We start from the raw sequence: 21,367 nt of genomic DNA, 5'->3' as shown, positions 1-21,367 counted from the left end.
TTGAGTGTGAGTTGGAAAGAAAGATTTGGCTGCTCTCCAGTTACAAGAACAGTATGTTGGCTGTAATAAGGCCTATGTAGATATTGTCTTAATCTTAAAAGAGGCCAAGATATACAGTTCCTTCTATGCAGTCTGGATTTCCCACTGATTTCAAAGGCATTCCTGAGGGCAGGCCAGTTATGAGAAACACATTAGGCGCGGTCCAGACAGGCTGTTCAAAGAGGATACCATTCACCACCCCGTTTTCAGAGGAGCCTAAAGCACACGGCCATGTTCGCTTCAAGCTACAAGCATGTTTTCTGCGTAATGGTGTTTACTTTCACTCCTTTTTTTGTTTTGTTTTTATTTACTTATTTTTTGAGACTGAGTTTAGCTCTTGTTGCCCAGGCTGGAGTGCCATGGCACGATCTCGGCTCTCTGCAACCTCCGCCTCCTGGGTTCAAGCGATTCTTCTGCCTCAGCCTCCCGAGTAGCTGGAATTACAGACATGCGCCACCACGCCCAGCTAATTTTGTATTTTTAGTAGAGATGGAGTTTCTCCATGTTGGTCAGGCCCGTCTCAAACTCCCAACCTCAGGCGATCCGCCCGCCTCGGCCTCCTAAAGTGCTGGGATTACAGGCGTGAGCCACTGCGCCTGGCCACTCCTTCATTTTTATTTTTGAAAATGTACTATAGGATATTATATTGTGCCTAGAGTTCCTGCCAGTGTTCTTTTGTATGCGAATTGTAATTAAAAAACCAGTATCTATCTATTTTTCCAAACATAAACAAGTCCAGTTTCTGGATTTGAACTTTTGTTCCTCCTGCTACTAAATCATTTTAGTAACTGCAAGACACCTATGAACTCTATAGTAGTCAGTCGTTCAAGTAGGAGCTACCAGTTGCATCTAGGACAGTGCCAGTTATCTTGATCATGGGTGCCCTAAATCTGCACCTCATCCTCTCCAGCTATTCAAAACAGTCTTCTGGACATCCAGAAGCTATGCTTCTAGCTATTTAGTTGTCTGTAGAAGGTGATTGTAGAGTTTTCAGTGCCTAGCCACAATGCCAGTGTGTTATCTGAAGATACACGGTTAAGAACATGGGCTCCAGCCTGACCAACATGGTGAAACCCCATCTCTATTGAAAATACAAAAAGTAGCCGGGCGTGGTGGCGCGCACCTGTAATCCCAGCTACTTGGGAACGCTGAGGCAGGGCAATCGCTTGAACCCAGGAGGTGGAGGTTGCAGTGAGCCGAGATCGTGCCATTGCACCCCAGCCTGGGTGTCAAGAGTGAGACCCTGTCTTTTTTTTTTTTGATATGGAGTCTCACACTGTCACCAGGCTGGAGTGCAGTGGTGCAATCTTGGCTCACAGCAACCTCTGCCTCCCAGGTTCAAGTGATTCTCCTGCCTCAGCCTCCCAAGTAACTGGGACTACAGGCACGTGCCACCATGCCCAGCTAATTTTTTGTATTTTTAGTAGAGACGGGGTTTCACCATGTTAGCCAGGGTGGTCTCGATTTCCTGACCTTGTGATGTGCCTGCCTCGGCCTCCCAAAGTGCTGGGATTACAGACATGAGCCACCGCGCCCAGCCTGAGACCCCGTCTTTAAAAAAAAAAAAAAAAAGAACATGGGCTCTCGCCAGTGGTGGTGGCTCATGCCTATAATCCCAGCACTTTGGGAGGCCGAGGCAGGCGGATCACAAGGTCAGGAAATCGAGACCACCCTGGCAACATGGTGAAACCCCATCTCTTCTAAAAATACAAAAAATTAGCTGGGTGTGGTGGCATGCGCCTGTAGTCCCAGCTACTCGGTCTCAAAAAAAAAAAAAAAAAAAAAATAGAACATGGGCTCTCAGAACAGACAGAATTTGGGGGTTCAAATTTTAGCTCTTCAATTTAGTAGTCATATGGCCTTGAAGAAATTAAGTAACATTTTAAAGTCCCCGTTTCTGTAGAATGCTGATGGTGAGGATGATGTCAATAATCCTTGCCTCATCAAAGTATTTTGTAGATTAAATGAAATTATGAACAGGTATTATTACTAATGGTATTCTTGCTCTTTAATCCCTTCTTAGACTTAAAAGAGCTGTTTTATTGGAGCATTAATCATGATGGCTATCATTTATTGCCATGTGCCAGCACTAGGCTAAATACTTTATCTACGTGATCTATGATCATAATGAAACATGCAAGGAAGAGACCTTTACTTTACAGCAGAGGAAACTGAAGGTCAGAGAGGTTAATGATCTTGGTCATAAAACCAAGAGGTAGATAGAGCTGGGGTGCGAACTCAAAGCTGCTGTTCTTTCCACTAAGCCCTACTGATACTCATGTATCCCAGTTTAAGTCATTGCCTCTGCAGAGGAATTCAGCTGGGAAGAATCATTATTTCCCTCTTGCATTAACAAGGGACAGCCATCTATCCCTTGCTCTAGAAAAAAAAGGAACACCTAATATTAAGCAGTAAACCCAGGCAGAAACCCATCTACTCACAGTGTTTCATATGGGGCTAATACATGCCTTTGAAGATGCCTGCAAGTATCAGCATGAATGGCTGTGCCAGAGAGGTATGCGCCCATGTCCAGGCTCCTACAACAAATATTAGCCACAGAAACCCTTGATTTTTTTTTCTTTTCTTTTTTTTTTTTTTTTTCCGAGATGGAGTCTTGCTTTGTTGCCCAGGCTGGAGTGCAGCGGTGGGATCTCGGCTCACTGCAACCTCCACCTCCTGGGTTCAAGTAATTCTCCTGCCTCAGCCTCCTGTGTAACTGGGATTACAGGCACCATGCCTGGCTAATTGTTGTATTCTTAGTAGAGACAGGGTTTCACCACGTTGGCCAGGCCAGGTCTTGAATTCTTGACCTTGTGATCCGCGCCCCCCCACCCCGCCCTCGACCTCCCAAAATGTTGGGATTATAGGCGTGAGCCACTGCACCTGGCAATTCTTGATGTTCTTAATTTAATCTCCTTTAGAAGGTCTATCCCAATGACCCTGAATCACTAGCTTTGGATATAAATAAAATTTTTCTGCCAGTCAATAACCCAGAGTCCCTATTCTATTCTCTTCTATTTACTTACTTTTCAAGTACAAACATAAAGCCAAGACTAGAGTCCATTTTCTTGTCCACATCTACTCTAGCAGGAACTCCGATTTCCCTCTGTCCCTACAAAATATTTCCTCCCTGGCCCCTCCCCCAAAGGAAGCCTCGCCTGTGGCAAATCGGTTCATTAGCCACAGTCACTGTACAACTTCTGGGACAAATCAATGGTCTGTACCCCTCAGGTCAACGAACGGAGCCTACAGAGTCCATCATGAGAATATTGGCGACTGAGTCAAGCTCGTTGCTCTGTAGTACCTCCAGTGCTTCAGGTCTGTGAGGAAAATTTCCTAGCCCTGTTCTGCTTTTTGTAACCTGGCCCTGAAGCAGCTCTGCCTGCGTCCAGAATTTCACATAGTCTCAGAGAAACAACTTCTTCATTTCTGTCAACCATTCTTGCACAAGAAAAGGAGCAACAGTTTGCAAGCATGGTGTAGCTTAAACAAAACTTTCAGGAAACGCATCACTGAAAAGATAACAAGGTCTGCAGAGATGCAGTTTGCCCACAACAAAGACAGCCTTTTTCATTCTCGGAGAGTGTAGTTTATCTCATTTCAGCCTCAGCAATATCCAACACCTTTTCTATTGACAACACTGCTTTATATTTGTCTTTGGCTTCTCTCTACTCTAACCTTGCCCCGTCCATCTGATATCACCCCAGGCAAGTGAGTGGTTTCCACTAATGGATATCTAAATCTCTACCTCTCACAGGGAGGAACTTTCCTTTTATCTTTTTTCTTTTTTTGCCACCCAGGCTGGAGTGCAGTGGTGTGATCTTGGCTCACTGCAGCCTCGACCTCATGGGCTCAAGCAATCCTCCCACTTTGGCCTCCTCCATAGCTGGGACTACAGGTGCGTGCCTGGCTAATTTTCGTATTTTTTGTAGAGACAGGCTCTCATTATGTTGCCCAGGTTGGTGTCAAACTCCTTAGCTCAAGGGATCCACCCACCTTGGCCTCCCAAAGTGCTGGGACTATAGGCATGAGCCACCGCGCCTGGCCCATTCCTTCTATCTTACACCATCTCCATGAAGGTTAAAATGATTGTAGGGCAAGTTCTTGTCAGTTCTCATATTCTCAGTACCCCGTGCTTTCCCATAGAAGAGTTATAAGACGGAATGTCTCCCTGAGAGGTGGCAAGGAAAAATTTTCCTTAGGAATCACTGACTTTTTTCCGGACAGCAAAAAATTAATTAATTAATTCTTTTTTTTTTTGAGCTGGTGGTGTTAAGCAGCAGTCTTTTTTGAATGGTATTGCTCCTTGCGGAGTAGGGCTAACTCACAGGCAGTGTACCCAGGGTCAGCCTATTTTTTTTTTTTTTTGAGATGGAGTCTCACGCTGTCATCCAGGCTGGAGTGCAATGGCACGATCTCAGCTCACGGCAACCTCCACCTCCCAGGTTCAAGTGATTCTCCCACCTCAGCCTCCCGAGTAGCTGGGATTACAGGCACCCGCCATCATGCCAAGTTAATTTTGGTATTTTTGTGGAGATGGGGTTTCACCATGTTGGCCAGGCTAGTCTTGAACTGCTGACCTCAGGTGATCGCCCCACCTCGGCCTCCCAAAGTGCTGGGATTACAGGCATGAGCCACCACACCCAGCCTTTTTTTTTTTTTTTTAAATAAGCGTTTGACCTCTCTTGATTCAGGCATAGTAACCACAGATGGGGGAGAGAGTGGGTTTGGGAGCCAAGATAGGCAGAACACCAAAAAGAGAAGAACATAGGCAAGGAAAAAAAAAAGAAAAGAAAAGAGAAAAGCAAAGCAAAACACGAAACACATGGGGTAGCAGCCTAGATTAGTAGATAGAATTGAAGTCCTTAAAATCGAAGGCACAGTGAGGGAAACCATAAGGTCTTTTATTACATGTAAGATATTCAATATCTTCCAAAGGACTGCCTATACTAAGCATAGAGGGTGATTTGGCTTAGGTGAACACTGCACTTTGGTAAGGATTCAGGTAGCTTTTTGTTGTCACTGACTGTATCAACCTTAATTTAGCAAATGGCCTATGCTGTGCTGTTTGTAAATGGTTTCTTTTTTCTATGTGCCTAAGCAAATGTTTTTTAGTGAGTAAATGACAGTAAATAAATCTTTGTAGAACAATCCTCGTGAAGATTTTTTTGCCCTTCTTCTCCTCCTCCTCCTCCTTCTTCTGCTTCTGCTTCTTCTTTTTCTTCCTTTTCAATACTACGTTTTTCAGGCCAATGATAAAACAGAAAATGTCTTGACAAAGTGAGCTCTCCAAATCATATATCACAAGGACGTAAGAGGAATATCACTTAACAAGTTGATAAAGATCCTGCCATCAATATGAACGAGGGGGAAGGGTAACTGTACTTTAGATTGTGGAGGTGGTTCAAGTCCCAGAACTAGAATCTTAGTAACTCAAAGAATATTGCCAAGAACACGTATATAGTTATTCTCCTAGATTTATGTGACAATGATGACAAACTCCATATTCTGTTGAAATATATTTGGATGGGCCGGGCGCAGTGGCTCACGCCTGTAATCCCAGCACTTTGGGAGGCTGAGGCGGGTGGATCACGAGGTCAGTAGCTCAAGACCAGCCTGGCCAAGATGGTGAAATCCCGTGTCTATAAAAATACAAAAATTAGCAGGGTGTGGTGGCGGGGGACTGTAATCCCAGCTACTCCGGAGGCTGAGGCAGAGAATTGCTTGAACCCGGGAGGCGTGAGCCACCATGCCCTACCTAGAATGGTATTTTGAAAGCTTTAATAACACCAGTGCTTTTCTAGAGATTGTGCATGCTGTGAATTTTAGACTTATGAAAAGACCTGGACAAAACAGCTGTTTGTACACCCGGACATCTGTTTTTACTGGAGAAGAGGAATTTCTAATGCAGCTGGCAGTATGGTAAAAATCCAAAGGGATCATGTTTCACAGACGCCTCCACGGGCTGACTTGTAATTTAAAAAGTGACCTGAACTTTCTACTGGATGTCACTGGATCCCCAGAAGAAGGTTCATCACAATTAGGTAAGAACCTGCCACGATTCATTTTCCGATTAGAGTGCTTTCTGGCATGCCTCTGCAAGGTGCTAGGAGCACAGGGCCAGGGTATACACAGTTGAGAAGATGGGGGAAGGTCTCATAAGTAGATGGGGAGCGAATGCAAACAAACCTTAGGATGGTGGGGGGGAGGGGAAGCAACAGTAGGGACTTGGGTGAGGAAAGAAAAGATCAAGAGGAAAAGCAGGGCACTGGCAACAACTTGGGGGGTGGATGGGGAGAGAGGAGGGGAATGGCTGTGATGAGGAGGGGGCGATGAAAAGGAGAGAAGGGGTGCGAAAGCCACCTCACGTGCAGGACGCACGAATCAACGATTAGAGATGTAAAGCGAATTGGGAGGGAGGGACTTAGTTCTCTGGAGCTCCCTTCTGCGTTTGCAGAGCCTGGCCCAGCGCTAAGGGGGTGTGGTGCTGAGCTCAGGGAGGTGGGGGTGTGAGACGGCGGCGGCAGGGACACCCCCGCCCCAGTCCAACCAGAAACTTGGAGCCGGGGAGACGGATCTGCAGGCGGGCAGGGCGAGGGCGGAGCGAGCGAGCGATGGGCGGGGCGGGGGCGGAGGGAGGGCGAGGAGATACAGGCGGAGGGCGAGGAGATACAGGCGGAGGGCGAGGAGATACAGGCGGAGAGCGGCGCTAGGACCCGCCGGCCACCCCGCCGGCTCCCGGGAGGTTGATAAAGCGGCGGCGGCGTTTGACGTCAGTGGGGAGTTAATTTTAAATCGGTACAAGATGGCGGAGGGGGACGAGGCAGCGCGAGGGCAGCAACCGCACCAGGGGCTGTGGCGCCGGCGACGGACCAGCGACCCAAGCGCCGCGGTTAACCACGTCTCGTCCACGACCTCCCTAGGTACGGGCCAGCGAGGCAGAGGCCGCGGGGCCCTGATGGGGAGAGACGCTCGCTGCTCGGGCTCGCGGGCACCGGCCGCAGGCGGCGGGGTCGGAGTCCGCGGCTGGTTCAGGTCTCCTCCCGCCGCCGCGCCTGCCCGCCGGGCCTAGCCTCAGCCGCGCCCCGCGCTCCCGCAGCGCGCGGCCTGAAAGGGCGGCTCGTGGGCCGCGGCTCCAGTAGCTGCTGGGAGAACCAGTGGCGCGCGCGTCTGCGACCGGCCCGGCCCCCTGCCCGCCAGCCCGCCGCGTGGCTGCCGCCGTGTCCGCCCCGACCTTAGGGGGCGGCCTTGAGCCGTGGCCGCCTGCCCGGGGCGCGGGGAGGTCGGCTGCGGCTCCGCTCCGTCCGGCGAGCTCCGGACGCGGCGGGGCGACCCGTTAGCTGGTGGGCGTTCGCTGTCCCTTACGCGGACAGGGAGGAAGGGGTGGCCAGGGCATGATGGGCCCCGCGGAGGAGGAGGTCGCGCGGGGAGCAGACACCTTGCTGCCGGGTCCGAAAGCTCCTTAGACACCCTTCCTGGAGGGAACCGCAGTCCGCAGGCCAGGGCTCTGTCCCCGGGCTCGCGTTTCGGGGCTCCTCGGCTCCCGAACCCATTCGCGCGGGTTGTGCGTGGCTAGGGTGCAAGTCTAGATTTTCGTGTCAAACTGGGGTTATGAGCCGTTTACGAGTCACTTGGACGATAGTAAGGCCTGATCACTCTGAAAGTGTCTGTAGTGTGAAGTCACCTGATCCTTGGCTCCCTGGTTTTGCTGAATGTGAGCTCCTACTGTACGTGTACCAGGAGCGCCCCTGCCCCCTCGAAGACGCAGTTGCGTTGGCAGCGCAGTGTATCCCTCTCACTCATAACACCCCTATTTATAGGAGTTTAGCGTTTGATCTCTCACTGTGGTGCGAATTGATCGCATGAAATCCTGATTGAAAATTTTGATGGTACTTAAGAAAGGCATAAAGTTTTTTCAAAGGCTTATAAATAGTAAAAGCCTACGATTTGGTAAGTACGGCCAAGATAAGAGTTTATTATTAAATACAGATACGAGCTCGTGTCTTAAGATTTCTTTTTTTACGGTGTGTAAAGGTTTTGCTGGATAAAATGTAAAGCATTTTGGTATGATGTTAACCACAAGGACTCACTTTAATAGGAAAGTTTATTTGAAATATACTTCATCATTCCTGGTAGTTCTTGGCGCATGTCAGAGGTGATGACAGACTGGAGTTTTGCTAAGGGAAGAAGAAAAGGAAATAAAGCTTATTTTATTATTGTCTGCCAACCAAAACGCTTGACTGTTTGTACAGTGGTAGCACTCTGTAGAATAAAAAACTACCAAAGAAGCAGCTTCGCCTTAGATGTGTGCTGGTTGGATTTCTTAAGTAATTAATTGTTTTGGAATGCGGATGGATTAATTTCGCTCTTTTGGTTGGACCCTAGGGGAAGAAGTGTGTGTTCTTTTCTTTCTTTCTCTTTCTTTCTTTCCTTTTTTTGAGGTAAGAGTTTTAGATGCAGTTTCAAAATATTCTATGTATTTACCTTATTAGAAGAAACATAAATTTATACTTCAGTTATGGTTGTGAACGTTGTTGTGCTGTGGTATCTTGAGAAGAGATGATACTCTTCAGATTGTTGTTGAAATAGGGCCCACCATTTATTATTTAATAAATGCTTTTGTCTGCTACTCATAGGTTTTTGTCCTTTGTTTTTTAGGACGGATCAGCAAGACCTTCACTTGATAGCCATTCCTAGCAAATGATTGCCTAAAACAGTCCCTGTACCTGCTAATTTGCTCCGAGTCACTCATTAATGAGTTAAAAACTAAATGAGCTTGGTAGGATTTGTGTTTAAAGTGAGAAGAAACAGACTGAATGAAAAGGACTCATCTATTTTTGACTGTGTAGAAACTCTTTGTCTCCCTCTGCTTCCTGGAGAAATAGCTTCAAAAACCAAGTTGGGGTCAAGTGTCACTTGAGTAGTTTAGTGTTAGGGAGAGGCTTTGTGTTTATTCTTTTAGGAATGTAGGATCTTTAGAAAGCAAATAAGTACTCATTTTATTGGCTTTTTAAGTTGATAGGATTCTGTAGATATGATTAAATCTATTTAGTAAAGTGTTTTGAAATTCTTCGAAATTATTTAGGGAGAAGTAGCTGCCTTACAGTAAAGATATTATAGGGAAAAGAAACCCTGAGTGAAAATAAGATTATGGCCTTAAGTCGAGTGCACATAGGTGTATTTCAGGATTCGTTTTTCTGTGACTGTATTGTAACTTTAAAGTTTTGGAATATTCACAAGTATAAGTAACTTTCTTGAAATTGTTAGACCTTTTCCAAAATTAGGCTTTTTCCACAGTTGGTATTAGGCAGCTAGCTGCTAAGAGTACGGGGAGACTGATTAACTAGTTTGATAATGCTGGATGGAGTTCAACATATATTTTTTAAATTTTGGGACTTCATAGCAAGATGTATTAAAAAATTGTTGATGGTCATTTGGAAGACCTGTTTGACACACACAATTGTCAGCAAAGCTGTTTGTCAGGCCCTTAAAAAGTTAAGAGCCAGAAATGTAAGGCATAGGAGTAGAAGTTAAACTTTTTGGTAATGGTGGTTTAGAGCTTTACAGCGCAAAGATTTTCTCCAGATAGGTGCAGGGAAGCAGCTTTCTTCTTTTCTTTCTTGTTTTTAACGTGTAATGGTATTCTGATTTTGTAGACATTTTGGGTTTTCAAAGTCCAGGTGTATTATTTACTTTCTAGAAAATTTGAGAGTTATTTACTTTAAGGAATGTAGATGTGAACATAGAATAACTGAACTTGATTCCACAGTGAATTCATTACTTTAGTAGTTTTCTTCCTATCCGTTAGTCCTCCACACAGCACATGATACACAACACTCGAGGGCTTTCTCTATGGCTTTAAAAATGGATAGCAGGCTGAGTGCGGTGGCTCACGCCTGTAATCCCAGCACTTTTCGGAGGCCGAGGCAGGTGGATCACCTGAGGTCAGGAGTTCGAGACCAGCCTGACCAACATGGAGAAACCCCCTCTCTACTAAAAATGCAAAATTAGCTGGGTGTGGTGGCGCATGGCTGTAATCCCAGCTATTTAGGAGGCTGAGGCAGGAGAATCGCTTGAACCTGGGAGGTGGAGGTTGCCGTGAGCCGAGATCATGCCATTGCACTCCAGCCTGGGCAACAAGAGCGAAACTCTGTCTCCCCCATAAAAAGGATAGCAGGAAGAAAGTACCAACCTGAAAATATGATGGCAATAGGATAATACTTGGTAGATATTATAGAAAGAAGTAGAACAATTAGTAAAGGAAGTAGAACAATTCTGTTTGTTATGGTCATGGAGAAGCATGAAGTATTCAGAAGTGCAAAGCCAAAATAACTTTTACAGATGATTTTCCAAGTTATGGAACGTGTCTCTGTGTGCTTGGGTATATACACATATTGCTAAACTTGGATACAGTTTTTTAAAAATGTGTGTATTTAAGTAGCCACCTTCACTACCTACTCTGAGACAAATGGCTGTGTGGTGTATGGTCGGATGATAGTTACTAGAAACAACTTTTAAGTCATAAAAGACTAACATCCTCTGTTTTCCCAAGGAGATAATATGTACTTTTGATTGACCTTGGATTTGGTCTTCGGACCAGTACAAGTAGAATGTAGGGGATTCCCTTGCTAAGCTACTAGCTTAATAAAAAGTATTCATACAACTCCTGTTCATACAACTTTATGATTGGTCCCCAAACAACCACTTAGAGGCTAGCTGGATATCCTGCTGGCCAGTAACTCTAATAACTTGTTGGAGAAGTATGTAACTGGTGAAGAATACTTATCTAGGTTCTCTAGTAACATTTTATCTTTTATTGCAAAGATGCTCTGATTGTGGCGGCAATGCTTCTTTAATCATAGGGAGGATAATGTAGTGGGAAAAGAATGAGGAATCAAATGAGTGATTTCACTTAAGCTCTCAGAGCCTGGAGCCCTCATATAAGGTAGTGATAATCCGTAACAAGGCTGTCGTGGGAAACAGATGATAGGGTGCAAGTGTTTTGTAGTACTTTAAAGTTTGTAAAACTGTCTTAAGGCACAGTAACATATATGTAAGAATGTACCAGTGTGACTACTTGTGTTATTATGCTATTATATATAATGTGTATATTTGCAATAAAAAGTTATAATTTTTTCCTGTGGACAGAGATTTAGTTTGGGCAAGGGTGGTAGGCAAGTTTTAAATTTTAGCTGTAAAATGCTGATAATATGTTCATGATAGGGTTATTGTAAGTATCAAATGTGTTAAAAGTGCTTAACCCACTGCCAAATATTCTGTCGGAGGTGGTTATTACCATAATGGGTGGTTATTTAAGATGAGACTTTGAACTAAAAAGTAATTTTCAAAATAGGCAACTTGGAAGGTGTTTGTTCAGTTATTAACATAAGATGTGATCATTCATGCTTCTTAGCTATCTTCATTTTAATAAATGTGCATTTTAGACAATCCTGTGGCAAAGTAGTTCTTCTGGAATTGTTTATTTCAATTGCAGGATTTCATATGAGTTAATTTCATAGTTTAAGGTTATGGCAGTTTCCAAGTACAGTTGTCCCTTGGTATCCATGGGAAATTAGTTCCAGAACCTCCCTCTGATGACAGAATTCAAGGATGTTCCAGTCCCTGGAACATGGTATAGTATTTGCATATAACCTATGTGCATCCTCCCGTACACTTGAATCTCTACACTATAATACCTAATACAATGTAAATCATTGTTATACTGTATGCTTGGGGAATAATGACAAGAAAAAATTGTACATGTTCAGTACAGATGCAGTTAAATAATTTTTCTATTCCTGGTTGGTTGAATTCATGGATGTAGAACCCATAGATATGGAGGGCTGACTTGACTGTATAGTGCATTGGCTTTTCAAACAGTAAATCTGCAAAATCTAACTTGGGTCTGTTATGCACAGGATTGCCAAAAAAAAAAAAAAAAACAATTAACATGAAACCATACTAACAGTGAATCTCATAAAAACCTTATTTTTCCCTTCATTTAATCCTTTAGAATAGAGTCATGGACAGTGATTAGAACTACATCCATCTTTAACATTTTAACTTGAGTTCTGCAAACTTCCTATGATTTTTGAAATGGATTTAGAATGGAGGCTTGGATTTTAATACTAGGTCTATGATGTTTTATTTTTATGTATTTATTTATTTTGAGACAGAGCCTCCCTCTGTCACCCAGGCTGGAGTACAGTGGCGTGATCTTGGCTCACTGCAATCTCCACCTCGTGGGTTCAAGCGATTCTTGTGCCTCAGCCCCTGAGTATCTGGGACTACAGACGCGTGCCACCACGTCCAGCTAATTTTTGTATTTTTAATAGAGACAGGGTTTCACCATGTTGGCCAGGCTGGTCTCGAACTCCTGACCTCAGGTGATCCACCCACCTTGGCCTCCCAAAGTGCTGAGATTACAGACATGAGCCACCGCACCCTGCCTGGGTCTGTAATGTTTTTCTGTAACATTTTTTTTTTTCCTTCCCAGTGGTTAATATCTACCCTAGCAAACTTACAGTAATTTTTTTAAAAATTTTGTTTTGTTTCTATGTTTTTTGAAACGAGGTCTTGCCCTGTTGCCAAGGCTGGAGTGCAGTGGCGTGATCACCGCGGTTTTGACCTCCCTGGCTCAAGTAATCTTCCTGAATCAGCCTCTTCAGTAACTAAGACTACAGGAGTGTGCTACCACACCTGGCTAGTTTTTAAAATTTTTTGTGGAGATGTGGTCTCCCTGTGTTGTCCAGGTTAGTCTCAAACTTCTGGACTCAAGTGATCCTTCCATCTCTGCCTCCCAAGTGTTGGGATTACAGGCATCAGCCACCACACCCAGCCATTTCTTTCTTTCTTTTTTTTTTTTTTAATTAAAGAGATAAACCCTATAAATGCCATTTAGAAATTTGAAAGCCTTCTATAAAGAAACTCCTCAAAGGAGGAAAGTTGGCATGGTAAATGGAGAGCTTTTTAAAAATTTCAGTGAATGAATTTGTGGGATGCCAAAAGTTGGTTTAATTTCACCTTTATCAGAATGGGGGAGTTGATTTTTGCCATTTCCTAATCTTTTTTATCTTTTTGTATTTTTTTCCTTATTTTTTTCCCCCCCGAGATAGGGGCTAGCCTTGTTGCACAGGCTGGAGTGCAGTGGCTCAATCATAGCTCGCTGCAACCTTGAACTTCTGGGGTGCACCCCCCACCCCCGCCATTTCAGCTTACTATGTAGCTAGGTCTACAGGCTTGCACTACCCTGCTGGGCCAGGGGTTGATTTTTTTGTTTTGTTTTGTTTTGTTTCGTTTTGAGATCGAGTCTTGCTCTGTCACTCAGGCTGGAGTGCAGTGGCACAGTCTTGGCTCACTGCAACCTCCACCTCTGGGTTCAAGAGATTCTTCTGCCCCAGCCTCCCAAGTAGCTGGGACTACAGGCACCCGCTACCACGCCTAATTTTTGTATTTTTTAGTAGAGACGGGTCTTACCACGTTGGTCAGGCTGGTCTCAAACTTCTGACCACAAGTGATCCGCCCGCCTTGGGCTCCCAAAGTGCTGGGATTACAGGCATGAGCCACTGTGCTGGCTGGGTTGATTTTTTTTTTTTTTTTTTTTTTTTTTTTTTTTTTGGGACAGAGTCTCACTCTGTCTCCCAGGCTGGAGCGCAGTGGCGCGATCTTGGCTCACTGTAACCTCCGCCTCCCAGGTTCAAGTGATTCTCTTGCCTTAGCCTCCCGAGCAGCTGAGATTACAGGTGCCCGCCACCGTGCCCGGCTAATTTTTGTATTTTTAGTAGAGACAGACCAGGCTGGTTTCAAACTCCTGACCTCAGGTGATCCACCCACCTCGGCCCCCAAAGTGCTGGGATTACAGGTGTGAGCGACCGCCCGGTCTTGATTTTCTTTCTTTTTTTTTTTTTTTTTTTTTGACGGAGTCTCGCTGTCGCCCAGGTTGGAGTGCAGTGGCGGGATCTCGGCTCACTGCAGGCTCCGCCCCCCGGGGTTCACGCCATTCTTCTGCCTGAGCCTCCCGAGTACCTGGGACTACAGGCGCCCGCCACCTCGCCCGGCTAATTTTTTGTATTTTTTTTAGTAGAGACGGGGTTTCACCGTGTTAGCCAGGATGGTCTCAATCTCCTGACCTCGTGATCCACCTGCCTCGGCTTCCCAAAGTGCTGGGATTACTGGCGTGAGCCACCGCGCCCGGCTTTGATTTTTTTTAATGACAAATCCGAGAGGAGTTTTGACGGGAAAACACCCCTGTTCTTAGAATTTTTTCAAGATGGCTATTAATAGCATCTTCATAAATTGCTGTTTTCTTTTTATCAGCACTTTAATTTTTATTTTTTATTTATGTACTTATTTTTGAGATAGGGTCTCAAATATGCAGCCTCCACCTTCTGGGCTCAAGTGAACCTCCTGCCTTAGTCTCCTGAGTAGCTGGGACTTACAGGTGTGTGCCACCATGCCTGGCTAATTAAAAAAAAAAAATTGGCCGAGCATGGTGGCTCACGACTGTAATCCCAGCACTTTGGGAGGCTAAGGCGGGTGGATGACAAAGTCAGGAGTTCGAGACCAGCCTGACCAACATAGTGAAACCCCGTCTCTACTAAAAAAATTTATTTATTTTTTCTTTGAGACAGAGTCTTACTCTGTCGCCCAGGCTGGAGTGCAGTAGAGCAGTCTCGGCTCACTCTACCTTCTGAGTTCAACTGATTCTCGTGCCTCTGCCTCCCAAGTAGCTGGGATTACAGGCATGTGCCACCACGCCCAGCTAATTTTGTATTTTTAGTAGAGATGGGGGTTTCACTATGTTGGTCAGGCTGGTCTTGAACTCCTGACCTCAGGTGATCCACCCACCTTGGCCTCCCAAAGTGCTGGGATTACAGGTGTGAGGCACTGCACCTGGCCTGACATGTACATTTTCAAGAAAAAGCTAGATCCATTCAGAAAGGTTTTACCCATTTATTCATCAGGGTTAGGTTTGTGCTTGTTTGCAAGTATCTTTGTTCACAGTGGGTGTTAATTAAAAATAAATGCCAACATATAGGTAAAAATGGGCATATTACAGTTTAATTTGCAATTTTTTGATTGTAGTTGATGTTGGAATAGTGATATGGAAATTGAAAATGTGAATTAGTTTATTTACTTTTTTAGAGATGAGGTATCACTATGTTGCCCAGGCTAGTCTCGAACTCCTGGGGTTAAGCGATCCTCCAACCTCCACCTCTCAGTGCTGGGATTACAGGCGTTAGTTACTGTGCCCAGCTCTGACTTCTTTTTATTAATTGCTTTTTAATATTTTTTGAGCATTTCCCAGTATTTCTTTTATTGTTTTGTAAAAGCCTGTTTGCATGCAGGAAATTATTTTTCATATTTGCTTTTTAATTTTGTATTTTTTTGGTGAGAATTGTGTGTGTTGGTTTCTTTCATGTTTTTCTTAAATAAATTGGCAATTTTTTTGAACTTATTAGTGGTAGTCTTAGTCTTTAGGCATGCTATTGGAGTGCTTTTAAAAAGTTGTTATGGCTGGGTGCAGTGGCTCATGCCTGTAATCCCAGCACTTTGGGAGGCCAAGGCGGGCGGATCACCTGAGGTGGGGAGTTCGAGACCAGCCTGACCAACATGGAGAAACCCCGCCTCTACTAAAAATACAAAATTAGCCGGGCGTGGTGGCACATGCCTGTAATCCCAGCTACTAGGGAGGCTGAGGCAGGAGAATCGCTTGAACCTGGGAGGTGGAGGTTGAGGTGAACTGAGATTGCACCATTGCGCTCCAGCCTGGGCAACAAGAGTGAAACTCCGTCTCAAATTAAAAAAAAAAAAAAAAAGTCCTTATTTTAGAGTCCAGGTGCGGTGGCTTACGCCTGTAATGCCAGCACTTTGGGAGGCTGAGGTGGGTGGATCATGAGGTCAGGAGATAGAGGCCATCCTGGCTAACACAGTGAAACCCCATCTCTACTAAAAATACAAAAAATTAGCCGGGCGTGGTGGCAGGCGCCTGTAGTCCCAGCTGTTGGGGAGCCTGAGGCAGGAGAATGGTGTGAACCCGGAAGGTGGAGCTTGCAGTGAGCCGAGATTGCGCCACTGCACTCCAGACTGGGAGAGAGAGCGAGACTCCTCAAAAAAAAAAAAAAGTTGTTTTAGGCCGGGCGTGGTGGTTTACGTTTGTAATCCCAGCACTTTAGGAGGCCAAGGTGGGAGGATCACCTGAGGTCAGAAGTTCGAGACCAGCCCGGACAACATGGTGAAACCCCATCTCTACTAAAAATACAAAAATTAGCTGGGCATGGTGGCAAGCGCCTGTAATCCCAGCTACTCCAGAGGCTGAGGCTGGAGAATCACTTGAACCCTGGAGGCGGAGGTGGCAGTGAGCCGAGATCGCGCCATTGCACTCCAGCCTGGGTGAAAAGAGTGAAACTCCGTCTCAAAAAAAAAAAAAAAGTTGTTTTAAATGGGCGGTTTTTTTTTTTTTTTTTTTTTTGAGATGGATTCTTGCTCTGTTCCCCGGGCTGGAGTGCAGTGGCTCACTGCAAGCTCCGCCTTCCGGGTTCATGGTATTCTCCTGCCTCAGCCTCTGTAGTAACTGGGACTACAGGCGCCCGCCACCATGCCCGGCTAATTTTTTTTTGTATTTTTAATAGAGACGGGGTTTCACCGTGTTAGCCAGGATGTTCTCGATCTCCTGACCTCGTGATCTGCCCGCCTTGGCCTCCCAAAGTGCTGAGATTATAGGCATGAGCCACCGCGCCCGGCCTTAAATTGTTAATCATATATTGATTGTTTATTCGTATCTCTTTTTATTGTCGGAGAGTGGGCATCTGTTTCAGTGCCTAGTAGCGTGGTAGAAGAAAAGCAAGCTTAGAAGCTAGGTTCAGATCTCTACAAATAAGTTTTAGTTTCTTAAAACCTAAAAAAAAACCTACCTGAAAAGTTCTAAGATTAAAAGATAATGTCTTGGCTGTGTGCGGTGGCTCGTGCCTTTAATCCCAGCACTTTGGGAGGCTGAGGCTGCAGGATGGAGCTGAGCCTGGGCGACATAGTGAGACTCTGTTGCTAAAAAAAATAATAATAGTAATAAAGATAATGTCTTAAAGTGTTTGGCATGTACTAAGTGCACAAAGTTATCATCTCTTCTCTTGAGGGTAGGACATGAAGGGGCTGGGGTTAGTTTTCTTTTGGGACTAGAGGCCGGAATGGGACAGGCAAATAGAGGACCATACTTAGACAAATAATTAGCTTTTTTCCCTTGATAGTTTTAGTTGACATACTGTGTACCTACCTTATAAAAGGGCTTTTGAGCTGCTTATAGTGAATACCTACAAAAAATAATGTAGACAGATGCTTGTTCTAAGCTTTCACGTAGATCATAGAGACTTTATGCATATTTGTGAGTTAAGTTTATCGTTAAGCTTATATGTTCTGAAGTAGAAATTGCCGTGTGCTAGAGTTGTTGAGGAATACTTCATGGAAGAGGGAGGCTTTGTCGTGCTTTGAAGAATGGGTAGATCTTAGAGAGCAAAGTGTAGGCTATGCCACTGGTTTGAAGATAAAAAAGATAGGCAGTATTTTGGTAACTTTTTATGACATAATTTAAACATTTGACCCTGATTTCTGAGAATTTTCAATCTAAAAGAGATGCTTAAAAAATACTTAAAAGCAATTAGATAGAGGCAACTGAAAGACCAAATGGTATTAGAGTATGTTTAATAAAAAAAGGAATGGGGCTATTTTCCTGTAGCCAAATAGAGCAAATAATTGGTTTAAGTAACTGGATAATTCCTGGAAAAATTATCTGAGGAGCTCAAAATGCAACTTAAAAACTGTGCTAACATCTCCTTCCTTCATCCTGTTTTTGAGCGTGTGTGTTTATTTACTACAAGGAATCCTGTCATGTACCCTCAAATTGCCAAACTAAGAGGGGACAAAAGGAGAGTATAGTGCGAAGCTCTGACTTTATCTTTGTTTTTTTTTTTTTTTTCAAATTAGTCACATTTTATCTAGTTGGAGGGGTGTTTATTTGTCTCCTTTTGGCACCATTCCCTTCTTTTCACGGCTGCTCTTGTAGTAGGAATTTTGTCTGTATTGAGCCAAGTCTGGAATTTGAGTGAATACTTACCTCTTTTTTTTTGAGACAGAGTTTAGCTCTTGTCGCCCAGGCTGGAGTGCAATGGCGCGATCTTGGCTCACTGCAACCTCTGCTTCCCAGATTCAAACCATTCTCCTGCCTCAGCCTCCCGAGTAACTGGGATTTTAGGTACACACCACCACACCTGGCGAATTTTTTTCTTTTTGAGATGGAGTCTCATTCTGTCACCCAGGAATGATCTCTGCTCACTACAACCTCTGCTTCCAGGGTTCAAGTGATTCTCCTGCCTCAGCCTCCCAAGTAGCTACTCCCAAGGGACTACAGGTACCCGCCCTCACGCCTGGCTAATTTTTTTGTATTTTTAGTAGAGATGGGGTTTCACTATGTTGGGCAGGCTGGTCTCGAACTCCTGACCTCGTGATTCACCCACCTTGGCCTCCGAAAGTGCTAAGATTACAGGTGTGAGTCACTGCTCCTGGCCAATTTTTTGTATTTTTAGTAGAGACAGGGTTTCACCATGTTGCCAAGGCTGGCCTTGAACTCCTGACCTCAGGTGTTCTGCCTGCCTCGGCCTCCCAAAGTGCTGGGATTACAGGTGTGAGCCACTGTGCCCGGCCTTCTCTTTTTTTAAACTGCTGCTGTAACAGTCATCTGAGGTAGAGAGATGTGGCAGAATGGAACTTAGTGTCTAAATTTCCAGAGTATTGGCTTAAAGCTTTTTGAAATTTGTCATAGTAGCCCTATTCGATCTAAGTGTCTATTCTAAATTTAAATATTCTAAATTTGTGTGTGTGTGTATTTGTGTGTGTGTGTGTGTGTGTATTTGTGTGTGTGTGTGTGTGTGTGTGTGTGTGTATGATTCCCTTGCTAACTGGCTATCCCAAATTTCAGAGTTCTTTTATGGCTTGATACTTTACAACTCTTAAAGTAATTTTTTTTTTTTTTTGAGACGGAGTCTCGCTCTGTACCCCAGGCTGGAGTGCAGTGGCGTGATCTCAGCTCACTGCAAGCTCCGCCTCCCGGGTTCACGCCATTCTCCTGCCTCAGCCTCCCTAGTAGCTGGGACTACAGGCGTGTGCCACCACGCATGGCTAATTTTTTGTATTTTTAGTAGAGACGGAGTTTCACCGTGTTAGCCAGGATGGTCTCAATCTCCTGACCTCGTGATCCACCCGCCTCAGCCTCCCAAAGTGCTGGGATTACAGGCGCAAGCCACTGTGCCTAGCCAACAAAGTTATTTTTTGAGCCTAAAAGAGAATTCTTAAACTATATGCCTGAGTCAAGGAAACCTTCTGTGTTTTCGATTAATTCTTGATCCGTGTGCTACAAAATCTTGGAGCTCTTAGAGTCATTGTACTAAAAATACTTCCGGAAATAGGAATGTAGTACATTGTCGTTTTATAAGGCATGTAAGAAAAGTGAGTGTTTCATATAACAAATATGGAATAATTTGGCCTAAGGCCACAGAGAATGATGTTTAAGAACTAGCTCTTCCATTTTTACTGTCACCTCTTGACTTTGGGCTTCTCACTTTATATTCGGGCTCTTGAAATTGCCTTATATCTGATTTGCGCATTACACTTCTTACTCATCACTTTGAGTTTATCTCTGCAACACAGCTTTGACTCTCTCTCCTCTGCTCTGAAATTGTCAGTGGTATTCCTCAGGGTTGATGTCCAACATTCTCAGACTATACTTTTATTTTTATTTTATTTTATTTTATTTTTTGAGATGGAGTCTCACTCTGTTGCCCAGGCTGGAGTGCAGTGGTACAATCTCGGCTCACTGCAACCTCTGCCTCCCGGGTTCAAGTGATTCTTCTGCCTCAGCCTCCTGAGTAGCTGGTATTACAGGCATCCGCCACCACGCCCGGGTAATTTTTGTATTTTTAGTAGAGACAGGGTTTCACCATGTTGGTCAGGCTGGTCTCCAACTCCTGACCTCATGATCTGCCTGCCTTGGCCTCCCAAAGTGCTGGGATTACAGGCGTGAGCCACTGTGCCCGGCCTAGACTACATTTTTAAAGTTAGCCTTAATCTGATCCTCAGGGCTTAAGAGGTGCAGCCGTCTTCAGAATGTCTTTATTGATAACCCTAGTTTAGATAATCCAAAAAGGGCTACTTTTGTACTCAAATAGCATTTCCTTTATTTTACAGTATCCTTTTATACTTTTTGTGTTAGAACCGTTAAGAGTAAAGACTGTTATTATTGAATTATACTTCTGTCTAGTATAGTGCCTTGCTCTCTAGTTACCAGTGTGAAGTAGGTAGGATGGGAGGTCTTCCTCGTAATTCATGACAGATTGGATAGTAGGTGTCCTGAGAATTGTTGGAGTTGGTGAATAGGAAACAGTGAGTTACACATTTACTTATATTTAAATATATGTGCTTATCTTGCCAAAGATGGGCAAATATACTTTTATTGCATCTTATATTTTAAAGGTATGCAATTTAATACTTGCCCTTCTAGAAAGTTTATGAAGAAAAAATTGTTCCCCAAATATTGGGAGACTGTGTAAATGATTTGCTGACTGTATAAATACATATTAACTAGGGAATTTTTGGAAAAATAGCTGTATGCCAAGATTTGTTATAAAGATGATAAATAACCCCCCCCCCCACCTTTTTAATAAACAACTTGTATTTTTGGTAGCTTTTTTCAGGTTTCTAGAAGTACTGAGCATATAAGAATTCAGATCTGAGTTTATTCAGCAGACATGCTCATTTGATAATAAAGATGCTAACAGTTTGGCTTAGTTGGAGGATGATGCATTTTGACAATTAGAAAGACCTGGTTGTGCATCCTCAGTTGATTACTTACAAAATGTGTATCCTCGCAGATTGCTTTATCTGAGCTTCAGTGTACTCCTTTATGGAAACAAGGAAACTCATAGCTACTCCACAAAGTGATTTTGAGGTTTAAAGAGATAATAGGCACATAGTCGGCACTCTGTGTTTTTCACTCTTCTGTAGTAAAAGCTACAACACCTAAAATTATTTCATACAGTGAATTATTTTGAGGGATGAGAAAGTTACTAATAATGTTTTCCTCTTTTCCTCCAGATGTCCATGTCTTTCAGTTCTTTGCTCAAATGTCATCTTGTAGGAGAAGTTATCTGTGACTACTGTCTTCAATGACAACTCCTGCCTCCATTTCCCTTGGCTCGCTTTACTTTTCTCTGTAGCACTTAACACTAGCTGACATCACACATATGTTTTCTATTGCTCTGTCTTTAGGATGTAAACTCCTAAG

At 44.2% G+C, this 21,367-nt stretch overlaps 1 protein-coding gene across 10 annotated transcripts in view, besides 7 other annotated features; it reads left to right on the top strand.

The window, feature by feature from the left end:
* The first annotated feature begins 5,520 nt into the window (after window positions 1-5,520).
* ATL2 (atlastin GTPase 2) overlaps window positions 5,521-21,367 on the top strand; it is an 84,631-nt gene continuing 68,784 nt past the window's right edge. For 6 of the 10 annotated variants that reach the window (NM_001330458.2, NM_001330461.2, NM_001135673.4 and 3 more), the window contains exon 1: window positions 6,832-6,962. Coding sequence is in view for 6 of the 10 variants with exons in the window: in NM_001135673.4 (NP_001129145.1) it covers window positions 6,845-6,962 (118 nt within the window). In the remaining 4 variants the exon portion in view is untranslated. Of the gene's footprint in view, window positions 6,084-6,831; window positions 6,963-7,574; window positions 7,990-21,367 lie in introns of those variants that run through there. The other 4 variants (NM_001330460.1, NM_001308076.1, NM_001330459.1 and 1 more) reach the window with 2 other exon arrangements.
* Window positions 6,413-6,462: a silencer, noted in NCBI's record as "silent region_11372". NCBI's record gives its function as "represses an Ori minimal core promoter by ATAC-STARR-seq in GM12878 lymphoblastoid cells {active_cell/tissue: GM12878}" and the evidence as "EXISTENCE:reporter gene assay evidence [ECO:0000049][PMID:35858748]".
* Window positions 6,533-6,692: a silencer, noted in NCBI's record as "silent region_11371". NCBI's record gives its function as "represses an Ori minimal core promoter by ATAC-STARR-seq in GM12878 lymphoblastoid cells {active_cell/tissue: GM12878}" and the evidence as "EXISTENCE:reporter gene assay evidence [ECO:0000049][PMID:35858748]".
* Window positions 6,533-7,740: a biological region, named in NCBI's record as "H3K27ac hESC enhancers GRCh37_chr2:38603507-38604008 and GRCh37_chr2:38604009-38604508".
* Window positions 6,663-6,912: an enhancer, noted in NCBI's record as "active region_15605". NCBI's record gives its function as "activates an Ori minimal core promoter by ATAC-STARR-seq in GM12878 lymphoblastoid cells {active_cell/tissue: GM12878}" and the evidence as "EXISTENCE:reporter gene assay evidence [ECO:0000049][PMID:35858748]".
* Window positions 6,739-7,238: an enhancer, noted in NCBI's record as "H3K27ac hESC enhancer chr2:38604009-38604508 (GRCh37/hg19 assembly coordinates)". NCBI's record gives its function as "activates a minimal SCP1, AML or CMV promoter by ChIP-STARR-seq in naive H9 embryonic stem cells {active_cell/tissue: H9 hESC(naive)}" and the evidence as "EXISTENCE:reporter gene assay evidence [ECO:0000049][PMID:30033119]".
* Window positions 6,913-7,412: a silencer, noted in NCBI's record as "silent region_11370". NCBI's record gives its function as "represses an Ori minimal core promoter by ATAC-STARR-seq in GM12878 lymphoblastoid cells {active_cell/tissue: GM12878}" and the evidence as "EXISTENCE:reporter gene assay evidence [ECO:0000049][PMID:35858748]".
* Window positions 7,239-7,740: an enhancer, noted in NCBI's record as "H3K27ac hESC enhancer chr2:38603507-38604008 (GRCh37/hg19 assembly coordinates)". NCBI's record gives its function as "activates a minimal SCP1, AML or CMV promoter by ChIP-STARR-seq in primed H9 embryonic stem cells {active_cell/tissue: H9 hESC(primed)}" and the evidence as "EXISTENCE:reporter gene assay evidence [ECO:0000049][PMID:30033119]".

Source organism: Homo sapiens, chromosome 2 (genome assembly GCF_000001405.40).
Source record: "Homo sapiens chromosome 2, GRCh38.p14 Primary Assembly".
Classification (NCBI taxonomy): Eukaryota; Metazoa; Chordata; class Mammalia; order Primates; family Hominidae; genus Homo; species Homo sapiens.
The sequence above is the reverse complement of the archived record's forward strand: the minus strand, read 5'-3'. Positions and strand labels throughout refer to the sequence as shown.